Below are 12,927 nucleotides of genomic sequence, written 5' to 3'. Positions count from 1 at the left end.
AATTAGCTGGACGTGGTGGCACAGGTCTGTAGTCCCAGCCACTCTGGAGGCTGAGGTGAGAGGATCACCCAAGCCTAGGATTTTGAGGCTATGGTGTAGTCATGATCCTTCCACTGCACTCTAGCCTGAGTTGACAGAGAGAAATCCTGTCTCTAAAAAAAATTAAATAAATAACACTATGTCTGTACCTTTTGTTTCCATAGGTATGTCACCTAGGAAAAACCAAGTAGTAGCCATTCAGTGTCAAATATTTTCCACGTTCAAAAATAGATGATTTATACACACATATGATCAGAGTAAGAAGCCCCACTGCTTTTACTGAGTATTTATCTGCTTGAAAGTGGAGTGATATTTATTCTACTGTTCATTCTTGGCAAAAATGTCAAGACTTTGTTTAGCATTTGGATAGTAGTACCTTCCAGGACCCTATTATTGAGCTTATCAGATAAGTAAAAAGTACCAAGAAGTCATTCTAAGTTCCTCCCATTTTTTTCTGTCCCTTATCCAGTTCATCTCAAGTTCTGTTGTGTTTCTATCCCTGAAATATATCCTACTCCTCTCCAAATCTCATTGCTATCTCTCAAGTCTGTGACAGTAGTATCTTTTCTTCAGGCTGCTGCAATAGCCATCTAACAGATCTATTTCCAGTTGTGTTTCCATGTGGCCCAGCCTCCATTCAGTAAAAACAGAAATTATTTTTTAACTTAACCCAGATCATACTTAAAAGCTTTGCATGGCTTACCATCAGATTAAAATGCAAACTTCTTGACTTGAATGATCTGGTTCCTGATTACCCCATCTCTCTCCTTTTATTCATTCCCATCTCAACCTTATTCACTATATTGTGTCATACTGGCCTTCTTTCAGTTTTTAGAACATAGCAAGCTTTTTCCCACTGGAGGGTCATTATACTTGTTATTCCCATTGCCTGAAAAGCTCTTTTTCAGTCTTCCCATGGTTGGTTTCTGCTCATCTTTTAAGGATGATCTTAATGTTAGTATCAGCTTCAATACGATTTATTTTCTTTAAAATAATTTTCCTGATAGTCTCATCAAAAGAGGCTTCGTCTCTCTTTGTTCTAGATAACATCACTCTCTATATCTATAATTACAATATTTATTTGGCTCCTCCATTAGATTATAATCTCCGGCAGTACAGGATCATTGTCTTTCTTACTCTCCCTGGATTTCCCAGCACCTGGTACATAATAGAAGTTTATCAAATATTTGCCGTACAAATGAAAGAAAAGGAGAAGGCTGGGTGCGGTGGCTCACACCTGTAACCCCAGCAGTTTGGGAGACCTAGGCAGGTGGATCACGAGGTCACGAGATTGAGACTATCCTGACTAACAGTGAAACCCTGTCTCTACTAAAAATATAAAAAATTAGCTGGGCATGGTGGCAGGCACCTGTAGTCCCAGCTACTTGGGAGGCTGAGGCAGGAGAATGGCGTGAACCCAGGAGGCGGAGTGTGCAGTGAGCCGAGATTGCACCACTGCACTCCAGCCTGGACGACAGAGTGAGACTCAGTCTCAAAAAAAAAAAAAAGAAAAGAAATAAGGATAAAATATTGAATGTAAATGTCAGGTTTTCTTCATATATTCAGTTTGTTTAAACAAAATTGCTTTAAAGGGGTTCATTAAACACATAGTATGAAACCAGGAACACCTTAATTGTATACTTGATGTTGATCCTATGTCTTGTAGTGTTTTCTTCAACTATGATTCTCTTAACTCTCTTGACTGTGGAGCTCTTGTTTATATTCTGATTAACTAATCTCCTTTTCTCCCTGAGAGAGTTCAGTACCAGCAGAGTTTTTTAATCAGCAGACATAAACAAGTTCTTCAGTAAAGATTAGTTTGCTTGAATTATTCTGTATTGGGTGGCTGGAGACAGATTTAACTACAACATGAAGTTACAAGGTTTAATTCTCAGCTACATAAACTTTACGTGTGCTTACTTAATGAAGGTAAGAGTAAGTTCCTTATTCTCTAGGATTAGTGCCAAAGCTCTTTTGAAAGAGTCTTTTGTATTTACTAGTGAGATCATAGCAGCGGAAGCAGGCTCTCAGCAAATTTAAAATCTGCTAATGATAAATAGGCTTTGAAAATAAGAACAAGGCTGGACGCGGTGGCTCACACTTGTAATCCCAGCACTTTGGGAGGCTGAGGTGGGCGGATCCCTTGAATCCAGGAGTTCAAGATCACCCCATTGCACTCCGGCATGGGTGACAAGAGTGAGACTCCATCTCAAAAAAAAAAAAAGACGAGGAATTCTACTTTTGGTATTGAAAGAGTAGATTACATCAGGCTAACCCTCCCGGGAATAACAATTATCCACCTGTAATCCCAGCACTTTGGGAGGCCGAGGCAGGTGGATCACCTGAGGTCAGGAGTTCAAGACCAGCCTGGCCAACATGGTGAAACCCCATCTGCACTAAAAATACAAAAATTAGCTGGACATAATGGTGTGTGCCTGTAGTCCCAGCTCCTCAAGAGGCTGAGGCACGAGAATCACTTGAACCTGGGAGGCAGAGGTTGCAGAGAGCCGAGATCATGCTACTATACTCCAGCCTGGGCAACAGAGCAAGACTCTCAAAAAAATAAATAAATAAATAAGAAAAAAATGCATCAACTGGACAAATTTAAAACATAGTAATCCTAAGTCACTGGAGAGCAACCAAAAGCAGGCACAAACTGAAGAAAAATCAATAATTAGAAGAGGAGAAGCACACTGGTTGCATTTCCCGCTTGTATAGCTCTTTTTATCTGTGGCCAGGTCCCAGTTAGCAGTACAAGTAAGCACTTAGAAACCTTGAATCTTACTGATTATTTAAGGGCCATGTTTCAGGACAGCTACAGCAGCAGGAAAGTGAGGGATAAAATGCTAATAGGGGAAACTGCAAATTTTGCATATAAACTCAAGCCACTTATCTAGGTAACTGACCCCCTAAACTATGTATATGCAGCCAGAATCCAGTATAGTTAGTTGAGACTAAAGATACTAAGTAGGGATTTCAGCTGCTGCCTACCCCACGGAAGAGAGTGTTACAGATTTTGGTTAACCCACAGTAACTGGTTGCTCTAATGCAAAGAAAAACTTATTTTCTTTTATTTCTTTCTTATTTTTTTATTTTTATTTCTATTTTTTTGAGATGGAATCTCATTGTGTTGTTGAGGCTCAAGTGCAGTAGTGCAATCTTGGCTCACTGCAGCCTCTACCTCCTAGGCTCAAGTGATTCTCCCACTTCAGCCTCCCAAGTAGCTGGGACCACAGGCATGCACTACCACACTTGGCTAATTTTTTGTACTTTTGATAAAGATAGGGTTTCACCATGTTGCTCAGGCTAGTCTCAAACTCTTGAGTTCAAGCAGTTTGCCCACCTCAGCCTCCCAAAGTGCTGGGATTACAGGCATGAGCCACTGTGCCCGGCCGAAACCAGTTATTTTCATAGGATAATAACACAATTGAGAATCTCTGTAACGTATTACTTATAATGTCCATAATTCAATCCAAAATTACTGGACGTTAATAAACATGAAAATATAATTCATATTAAGAGAGAAGGCAGTCAACACTGACAATTTCCAAGGTCATCCAGATGCTGAAAATAGCAGACAAGGATTTTAAAGTCATTGTTATAACTGTGTTCAAGGATGTAAAGGAAAATATGCTTATAATGAACAAGCAGATAAATCTTAAAAATGGAAACATAAAAATTTTAAAATGAACAATAGCAAATGAAAGTCCCAGAACTAAAACATATATGTCTGATTTTAAAACACAAAATGTAGGTTTAATAACAGATTGAAGATGGCAGAAGTGTCAGTTGAACTTGAAAGTATATGAATATAAATTGTCAGCCAGGTGTGATGGTTCACACCTGTAATGCCAGCACTTTGGGAGGCTGAGGCAGGTGGATCACCTGAGGTCAGGAGTTCGAGACCAGCCTGGCCAACATGGCAAAACCCCATCTCTGCCAAAAATACAAAAATTAGCCAGGTGTGGTGGCATGCACTTGTATTCCCAGCTACTCAGGAGGCTGAGGCAGGACAATCGCTTGAACCCAGGAGGCAGAGGTTACAGTGAGCAGAGATTGCGCCACTGTACTCCAGCCTGGGCAACAGAGCAAGACTCCGTCTCAAAAAAAAAAAACACAGGCAGGTGTGGTGGCTCACGCCTATAATCCCAGCACTTTGGGAAGCCAAGGCGGGCAGATCATGAGGTCAGGAGATCGAAACCATCCTGGCTAACACGGTGAAACCACGTCTCTACTAAAAATACAAAAAAATAATTAGCCAGGCGTGGTGGCGGGCGCACGTAGTCCCAGCTACTCAGGAGGCTGAGGCAGGAGAATGGTGTGAACCCGGGAGGTGGAGCTTGCAGTGAGCCGAGATCACGCCACTGCACTCCAGCCTGGGTGACAGAGCGAGACTCCGTCTCAAAAAAAAGAAAGAAAAAAGGGGGGGGGGGGAGAATGATATTAACTACAGATATCTTTAATAAGATAAGGAAATTCCTTTTTAGTTCTGAGAGCTTTCTGCAGAAGTCTTTAGAATTAATTTTGTTCTATAGTTGTTTTTTCTTTTAAAGTCTTTGTCAAGTTTTGTATTAGGCATACACTAGCTTCATTAAATGAGTTGGAAAATTATTTTCCTCCTCTGTTTTCTGGAAGACTGGTATTACTTCTTTCTCAAACATATACCAGACTTCACTAGGGAAGCCATTTAGAACTGAAATTTTTTATGTGAATAATATGGTAAGGTACTCAATTTATTTAAAAGATCTAGACTATTCAGATGTTCATCTTGACTCAGTTTTGATACGTTGTATTTCTAAAGGAATTTGTCCATTTTATCTAAATTATTAAAGATACTGGCATAACATTATTTATAACATTCCCTTATTAGTCTCTTAATGAGTCTAGGACCTATAGTGAGATCAACTTTTTTTATTTTGGATACTGGTAAGCCACCACACCTGGCCTAATATCATTCTTAATGGTGAAATGTTGAATGTTTCCTCCTAAGATTGGGAAGAAGATAGAGTTGTCCACTCTGACTCAGCATTACATGGATGTTCTAGGCAGTGTATTAAGTCAAGAAGATGAGTAAGAGTCATCATAATGATCAGGAAGGAAGAAATGAAACTGTTTCTGTTTATAGATGACATGATTGTTTATATAAAAAAAAAATCCAAAGAGATCCACACCAAAAAAAAAAAAAAAAAGCTACTGGTAGTAGTAGCAGCAAGGTTACTGGAAAATCATCAGTATTAAAAAATCAATTGTATTCTTATAAAACTTAATATACTCTGAACATTTGATGTGGCAGTCATGCTCCTTGGTATTTTCTCAAATAATTTGAAAACATATCTATTGAAAAGAAAAACCTGCATATAGATGTGTGTTTTGTTTTTGTTTTTGTTTTCTTTTGAGATGGAGTCTCGCTCTGTTGCCCAGGCTGGAGTGCAGTGGCGTGATCTTGGCTCTCTGCATTCTCCTCCTCCTGGGTTCAAGCAATTCTTGCACCTCAGCCTCCTGAGTATCTGGGACTGCAGGCATGCGCCACCATGCCCAGCTAATTTTTGTATTTTTAGTAGAGACGGGGTTTCACCATGTTGCCCAGGCTGGTCTCAGACTCCTAACCTTAAGTGATCCACCCACCTCGTCCTTCCAAAGTGCTGGGATTACAGGCATGAGCCACCGCGCCTAGCCTCTTTTTTAAAGTCTTAAATAAACATATATTCAGATAATATAAATATATATCTCCAAGTAAAGGGTTTATTTGGGAATAATATACAATAATTAGGCTTGGCGTGGTGGCTCACACCTGTAATCCCAACACTTTGGGAGGCCGAGGCAGGCAGATCACCTGAGGTCAGAAGTTCGAGACCAGCCTGGCCAACATGGTCTCTACTAAAAATAGAAAAAAATTAGCCAGGAGTGATAGTGGATGCCTGTAATCCCAGTTACTCAGGAGGCTGAGACAGGAGGATCACTTGAACTCAGGAGGTGGAGGTTGCAATGAGCCAGGATCACACCATTGCACTCCAGCCTGCGTGACAGAGCAAGACTCTGTCTCAAAAAAAAAGAATTAGTCCAGGCATGGTGGCTCATGCCTGTAATCCCAGCACTTTGGGAGGCCGAGGAGAGAAGATCGCTTGAGGCCAGGAGTTTGAGACCAACTTAGGCAATGTAGTGAGAACCTCTCTCTATAAAGCAATAACAACATTTGCTGGGTGCGGTGGTACATGCCTACTCAGGAGGCTGAGGCAGGAGGATCACTTGAGCCCAGGAGATCGAGGCTGCAGTGAGTTATGATTGCACCAGCGCACTCCAGCCTGGGTGATGGATCAAGTCCCTGTTTTCTATGAAAAAAAAAAAAAAAAAGAATCGCAATTCAGGACACATAGACCAGGGTAGTCCCTAAGTGTGTCTGAAAAACAAAGAGAAAGGCTGGGGTTGTATTGAGCAAAAGAGGAAGGTTGGAAGAAGGTCAGCCAGGCCCAGTGGCTCAAGCCTATAATCCCAGCACTTTGGGAGGCTGAGGCTGAGGCTGTTGGATTGCTTGAGCTCAGGAATTCGAGACCAGCCTGGACAACATAATGAAAACCCATGTATACAAAAATTTAAAAAGAAAAGAAAAATTTAGCCAGGTATGGTGACATGCACCTGTGGTCCAGCTACTTAGGAGCCTGAGGCAGGAGGATCACCTGAGCCTGGGAGCTTGAGGCTGCAATGAGCTGAGATTGCACCAGTGCACTCCAGCCTGAAAGACAGAGTGAGATCCTGTCTCAAAAACAAAGAAAGAAAAGAAAAAGGTCACTGGTACAGTTGTCATTGGTGAGTGGCAGCAGTTACTATATAAGACATAGTCTTAATTATAGTTAGAGTGAATTTTCTGTTGAAATGCAAAATCAGTTCCTGGATCAGGGACCTTAGTGCCCTCCCCCATGGCCTCCTGACTCCATTTTAGTTGGATATGGTATGAATGATTCCGTTTTGTCTAATCAACTTTCACACCTCTCTCAAACTTACACCAGCAAACACCCACTGGGGAGTGTTTGCTTAAGCAAAAGTTCCTTAAGCTGATAAACAACTTTAGCAAAGTCTCAGGATACAAAATCAATGTACAAAAATCACTAGCATTCCTATACACCAATAACAGTTAAGCCAAGAGCCAAATCATGATTGAACTCTCATTCACAATTGCCACAAAAAGAATAAAATACCTAGGAATACAGCTAACTAGGGAAGCGAAGGATCTCTATAAGGAGAACTACAAACCACTGCTCAAAGAAATCAGCGAAGACACAAATGGAAAAATATTCCATGCTTATGGATTGGAAGAATAAATACCGTTAAAATGGCCATATTGCCCAAAGCAATTTATAGATTCAATGCTATTCCCATTAAACTACCATTGAAATTCTTCATAGAGCTAGAAAAAAACTATTTTAACATTCATATGGAACCAAAAAAGAACCTAAATAGCCAAGGCAATCCTACACACAAAAAAAGAACAAAGCTGAAGGCATCATGCTACCTGACTTCAAACTATACTACAGGGCTACAGTAATCAAAACAGCATGGTACTGATACAAGAGCAGACACATAGACCAGTGAAACAGAATAGAGAACCCAGAAATAAGACTGCACACCTACAACTGCGTGATCTTTAACAAACCTGACAAAAACAAGCAATTGGGTAAGGATTCCCTATTCAGTAAATGGTGCTGGGATAACTGGTTAGCCATATGCAGAAGGTTGAAACTGGACCCCTTCCTTACAGCATATACAAAAACAAAATATGGATTAAAAACTTCAATGTAGGCCAGGCGTGGTGGCTCACGCCTGTAATCCCAGCACTTTGGGAGGCTGAGGCACGTGGATCACTTGAGGCCAGCAGTTCGAGACCAGCCTGATCAACATGGCAAAATCCCATCTCTAACAAAAATGCAAAAATTAGCTGGGTGTGGTGGCACATGCCTATAATCCCAGCTACTTGAGAGGCTGAGGCATGAGAATCACTTGAACCCTGGAGGTGGAGGTTGCATTGAGCTGAGATCGCTGCACTCCAGCCTGGGCAACACAGCAAAACTCTGTCTCAAAAAAAAAAAAAGACTTAATTGTAAAACCCAAAACTATAAAAACCCTGAAAGACAATCTAGGCAGTACCATTCAGGACATAGGCACAGGCAAAGACTTCATGACGATGCCAAAAGCAATTGTAACAAAAGCAAAAATGGACAAATAGTATGAACTTCTGCGCAGCAAAATAAACTATGAACAGAGTAAACAACCTATAAAATGGGAGAAAAATTTTGCAAACTGCTTCTGACAAAGATCTAATATCCAGCATCTATAAGGAACTTAAATATACAAGAAAAAAAACCATTGAGAAGTGGGCAAGGCCTGGTGTGGTGGCTCACGCCTGTCATCCCAGCACTTTGGGAAACCAAGGCAGGCAGATCACTTGAGATCAGGAGTTTGAGACCAGCCTGGCCAACATGGTGAAACCCCGTCTCTACTAAAAAAAAAAAATAGAAAAAATTAGCTGGGCATGGTGGCACGTGCCTGTAATCCCAGCTATTCAGGAGGCTGAGACAGAATTGCTTGAACTCCGGGTGGCAGAGGTTGCAATGAGCTGAGAACATGCCACTCCACTCCAGCCTAGGCAAAAAAGTAAGACTCCGTCTCAAAACAACAATAATAATAAAATTTTTTTAAAGACTCTTGGCCAGGCGCAGTGGCTCACATCTGTAAACCCAGCACTTTGGGAGACCAAGGCAGGCAGATCACCTGAGGTCAGGAGTTTGAGACCATTGGCCAACATGGTGAAACCCTGTCTCTACTTAAAATACAAAAAAATTAGTTGGGCACGGTGGTGGGCTCCTGTAATCCCAGCTACTTGGGAGGCTGAGGCGGGAGAATCGCTTGAACTCAGGAGGCACAGGTTGCAGTGAGCTGAGATTACACCACTGCACTCCAGCCTGGGTGACAAGAGTGAGACTCCATCTCCAAAAAAAAAAAAAATGGGCAAGGGACATGAACAGACACTTCTCAAAAGACATATACGTGGCCAACAATCATATGTCTCTCCCTCCACTGCCATGGTGTCAGAGGAGGTCTAGCCGAGTCAGACTTTTACCAACACCTAGCAGTAACATAACTACCCCACCACAATGTCAGTGGAGACCCCTTGGGAAATTGGAATTCTAACCATTCCCTAGCAGTAATGGGGAGCTTCCCCATCCCCCAACACTCAGGTTTCAGTGGAGGCCTAGTAGGCAACTTGGTCTTTTACTTACAGCTGGCAGTAATGAGGCAGCTTTATCCCTTTTCTGCTGGAGCAGTTTCAGAAAAAGCCAGCTAAAATACAAATTTCATAAAATCTAGAACCTTATACTACTACAAAAGTGTTTAACTTTGAATTTAAAATCATATGTTATTTGCCAAGCATGGTGGCTCATGCCTTGAAATCCCAGCACTTTGGGAAGACAATTTATGTCCACACCAAGACATTAGAATTATCTGGCAGATTTTTAAAGCAGTCTTGATAAAAATGCCTTAGTGAGCAATTGTGAACATGCTTGAAACAAATCAAGAAATAGAAGAAGATAATTTTTCATATTTTATTTTATTTATTATTTTAATTTTTTGAGACAGGTTCTTGCTCTGTTGCCCAGTCTGGAGTGCAGTGGCACAATCTCTGCCCACCGTAGCCTCTACCTCCCAGGTTCAAGTGATTTCTCCTGCCTCAGCCTCCCGAGTAGCTGGAGTTACAGGCATGTGCCACCATACCTGGCTAATTTTTGTATTTTTAGTAAAGACGGGGTTTTACCACGTTGGCCAGACTGGTCTGGAACTCCTGACCTCAAGTGATCTGCCCGCCTCACCTCCCAAAGTGCTGGGTTTACAGGCGTGAGCCACTGCACCTGGCCAATAATTTTTTTAAATTAGAATTTTTATAACTGACTCAGTAATTGAAATAAAAAGTTCAGAGCTTTTATGAGAGAAATTGAACCAGAAAAAAAAATACATTCAGAGATAGACTTAACAGCAGAATGAATGGGACAGAGGAAATAATCTATGCACTAGAAGATAGAATAATACATATTACTCAGCGTATACAACAACATAGAAAATAGAATTAAAAACAGAAAGACTGAGGAGCTTGTGAGAATATGACAAAAAAAGCAAATTTGTGTTATCGGAGTCATGGAAGGAGGGAAAAAAAAGGGCATAGATGAAAAGCACCTTAGTAAATAACAACTGGAAACTTACCAAATTTGGCAGGAGACAGAAATCTCTGTATTCAAGAAGATTAGCAGACTCCGAACAGGATAAACTCAAACAAATATATGCCGAGACACATAATCACATTTCAGTACACTAACAAAACAATTTTAGGCTGGGCGAGATAGGTTGCTCCTGTAATACCAAATACCTTGGGAGGCTGATTGCTTGAGCTCAGAAGTTTGAGACCACCCTGAGCAACATGGTGAAACCCTGTCTCTACAAAAAATACAAAAAAAATTAGCCAGGCATGGTTGGCAAATGCTTGTCATCCCAACTACTCAGGAGAACGAATCTCAGAAAAAATAAAAAAAACAAAAAAAAACCACACCAATTTTAAAGCAATGACAGAGAAATTACCCTTACCTATAAGGATAAAACAATTCAAATGACAGTAGATTTCTCATCTGAATCTATGGAGGCCAAATGGAAGTGATACAGCATTTTTCACATCCTAAAAGCAAAGAATTGTCAACTCCGAATCTTCTAACCAATGAAAATATCTGTCAGGAATTAAGAAGAAATGAAGGCATTCTTAGATTAAGGAAAACTAAGAGAGTTTGTTGCCAGCAGATGTACCCTATGAGTAAAGCAAGTTCTGTGAACAGAAAGGAAACAATTTTAAAAAAAAGACACTTTGGAACATTAGGAAGGAAGAATACAGTAAGCAAAAACATGGATATATACAATAGGCTTTCCTTCTCTTGAGTTTTTTCTAAGTTACGTTTAATCATTGAAGCAAAAAGTTTTAACACTGCTGTATTGTTTTAGCAACTTTATTAAGATACAATTCACAGACCATCCAATTTACTCTTTTAAAATAGACTATAGTTTTTGATATATTACATTTTTTTTAACTTCCAGTAAAATATACATAACACAATTTGCATTTTGATCATTTTTAAGTGGACAATTCAGTGTCATTAGGTACATTCGCATTGTTGTATGACCATGACTGCTATCCATCCCCGGAACTTTTTCATTATCCCCTACTGTAACTCTGTACCCATTAAACTGTAACTCTCCATTCTCTGTTCCCCTCAGCCTCTGGTAATCACTGTCTATTTCTTTGAAAGTGGGGTTGTATAATACCTGTTCTTTTGTATCTGCCTTAATTCACTTAGCATAATGTCTTTAAGGTTCATCCATGTTGTAGTACCATCATGTGTTGCTTAACGATGAGGATACATTCTGAGAAATGCATTGTTAGGCAATCTTATAATTATGCAAACAGAATATACTAACCAGGCTGTATGGTATAGCCTCTTGCTCCTAAGCTACAAACCTGTATATCATGTTAGTATACTGAATACAGTAGTCAGTTGTGACACAGTGGTAAGTATTTACATATCTAAATGTAGAAAAGGTACAGTAAAAATACAATATAAAGGATAAAAAATGGCAGCCCACTATGGGACACTTACCTGAATGGAGCTTACAGGATTGTAAGTTCCTCTCTGTGGGTCAGTGATTGAGTGGAGAGTGAATGTGAAGGCCTAGGACATCACTGTTAAACTACTGTAGATTTTATAAACACTGCACACTTAGGCTACACTAAATTTTTATTTTTTGTTCCTCAATAGTTAAGTTAATCTTAGCTTTCTGTAGCTTTTTTACTTTATAAACTTAATTTTTTAACACTTTGACTCATAATAACTTAGCTTTAAACATGAACACATTGTACAGCTGTACAAGAAAATATTTTCTTTATGTCCTTATTTTATAAGCTTTATTTTTAACATTTTTTCTTCTTTTTAAACTTTTTTAGTTAAAAGCGAAAAGAGGGCCAGGCATGGCGGCTTACGCCTGTAATCCCAACACTTTGGGAGGCCAGGGCAGGCAGATCGCTTGAGCCCAGGAGTTTGAGACCAGCCTGGGCAACATGGCAAGACCCTGTCTACAAAAAATAAAAAATCAGCCAGGCATGGTGGCACATGCCTGTAGTGCCAGCAACTTGGCAGGTAGAAGTGAGAGGATCGCTTTAGTCTGGGAGGTTGAGGCAGCAGTGAGCCATGATCCTGCTATTGTACTCCAGGCTGGGTGACAGAGCGAGACACTGTCTTGAAAAAAAAAAAAGAGCTAAGACACAAACCCACATTAGCCTAGGCCCACTCAGGGGCAAGATCATCAATATCACTGTTTTCTCGCTGTATGTCTTGTTCTACTGAAAGGTCTTCAGGGGCAGTAACACTCATGGAGCTGTCATCTGATATGGTAATAATGTCTTCTGGAATATCTCCTGAAGGATCTGCCTAAGACTGTTTTTTGGTTTGGTTTGGGTTTTTGTTTGTTCGTTTGTTTGTTTGTTTGAGACAGAGTCTTGCTCTGTCGCCCAGGCTGGAGTGCAGTGGCACAATCTCAGCTCACTGCAAGCTCCATCTCCTGGGTTCACACCATTCTCCTGCCTCAGCCTCCCGAGTAGCTGGGACTACAGATGCCCGCCACCACGCCCAGCTAATTTTTTGTATTTTTAGTAGAGACAGGGTTTCACCATGTTAGCCAGGATGGTCTTGATCTCCTGACCTCATGATCTGCCCACCTCGGCCTCCCAAACTGCTGGGATTACAGGCGTGAGCCACCACGCCCAGCCTGGTTTGGTTTTTTGAGACAGAGTCTGTGTCGTTGCCT

The 12,927-nt window shown here is 40.7% G+C and overlaps 1 protein-coding gene across 13 annotated transcripts in view, besides 1 other annotated feature; it reads left to right on the top strand.

Annotated features, from left to right (window-relative positions):
- Positions 1 to 12,927, top strand: part of ASH1L (ASH1 like histone lysine methyltransferase) — a 227,935-nt gene that overhangs the window by 168,097 nt on the left and 46,911 nt on the right. The gene's annotated exons all lie outside the window — the stretch shown is intronic.
- Positions 401 to 601: a silencer, noted in NCBI's record as "peak419 fragment used in MPRA reporter construct". NCBI's record gives its function as "represses an SCP1 promoter by STARR-seq MPRAs in K562 erythroleukemia cells {active_cell/tissue: K562}" and the evidence as "EXISTENCE:reporter gene assay evidence [ECO:0000049][PMID:32103011]".

This window comes from Homo sapiens, chromosome 1, assembly GCF_000001405.40.
Source record: "Homo sapiens chromosome 1, GRCh38.p14 Primary Assembly".
Classification (NCBI taxonomy): domain Eukaryota; kingdom Metazoa; phylum Chordata; class Mammalia; order Primates; family Hominidae; genus Homo; species Homo sapiens.
This window is presented reverse-complemented; position numbering and strand designations above follow the sequence as displayed.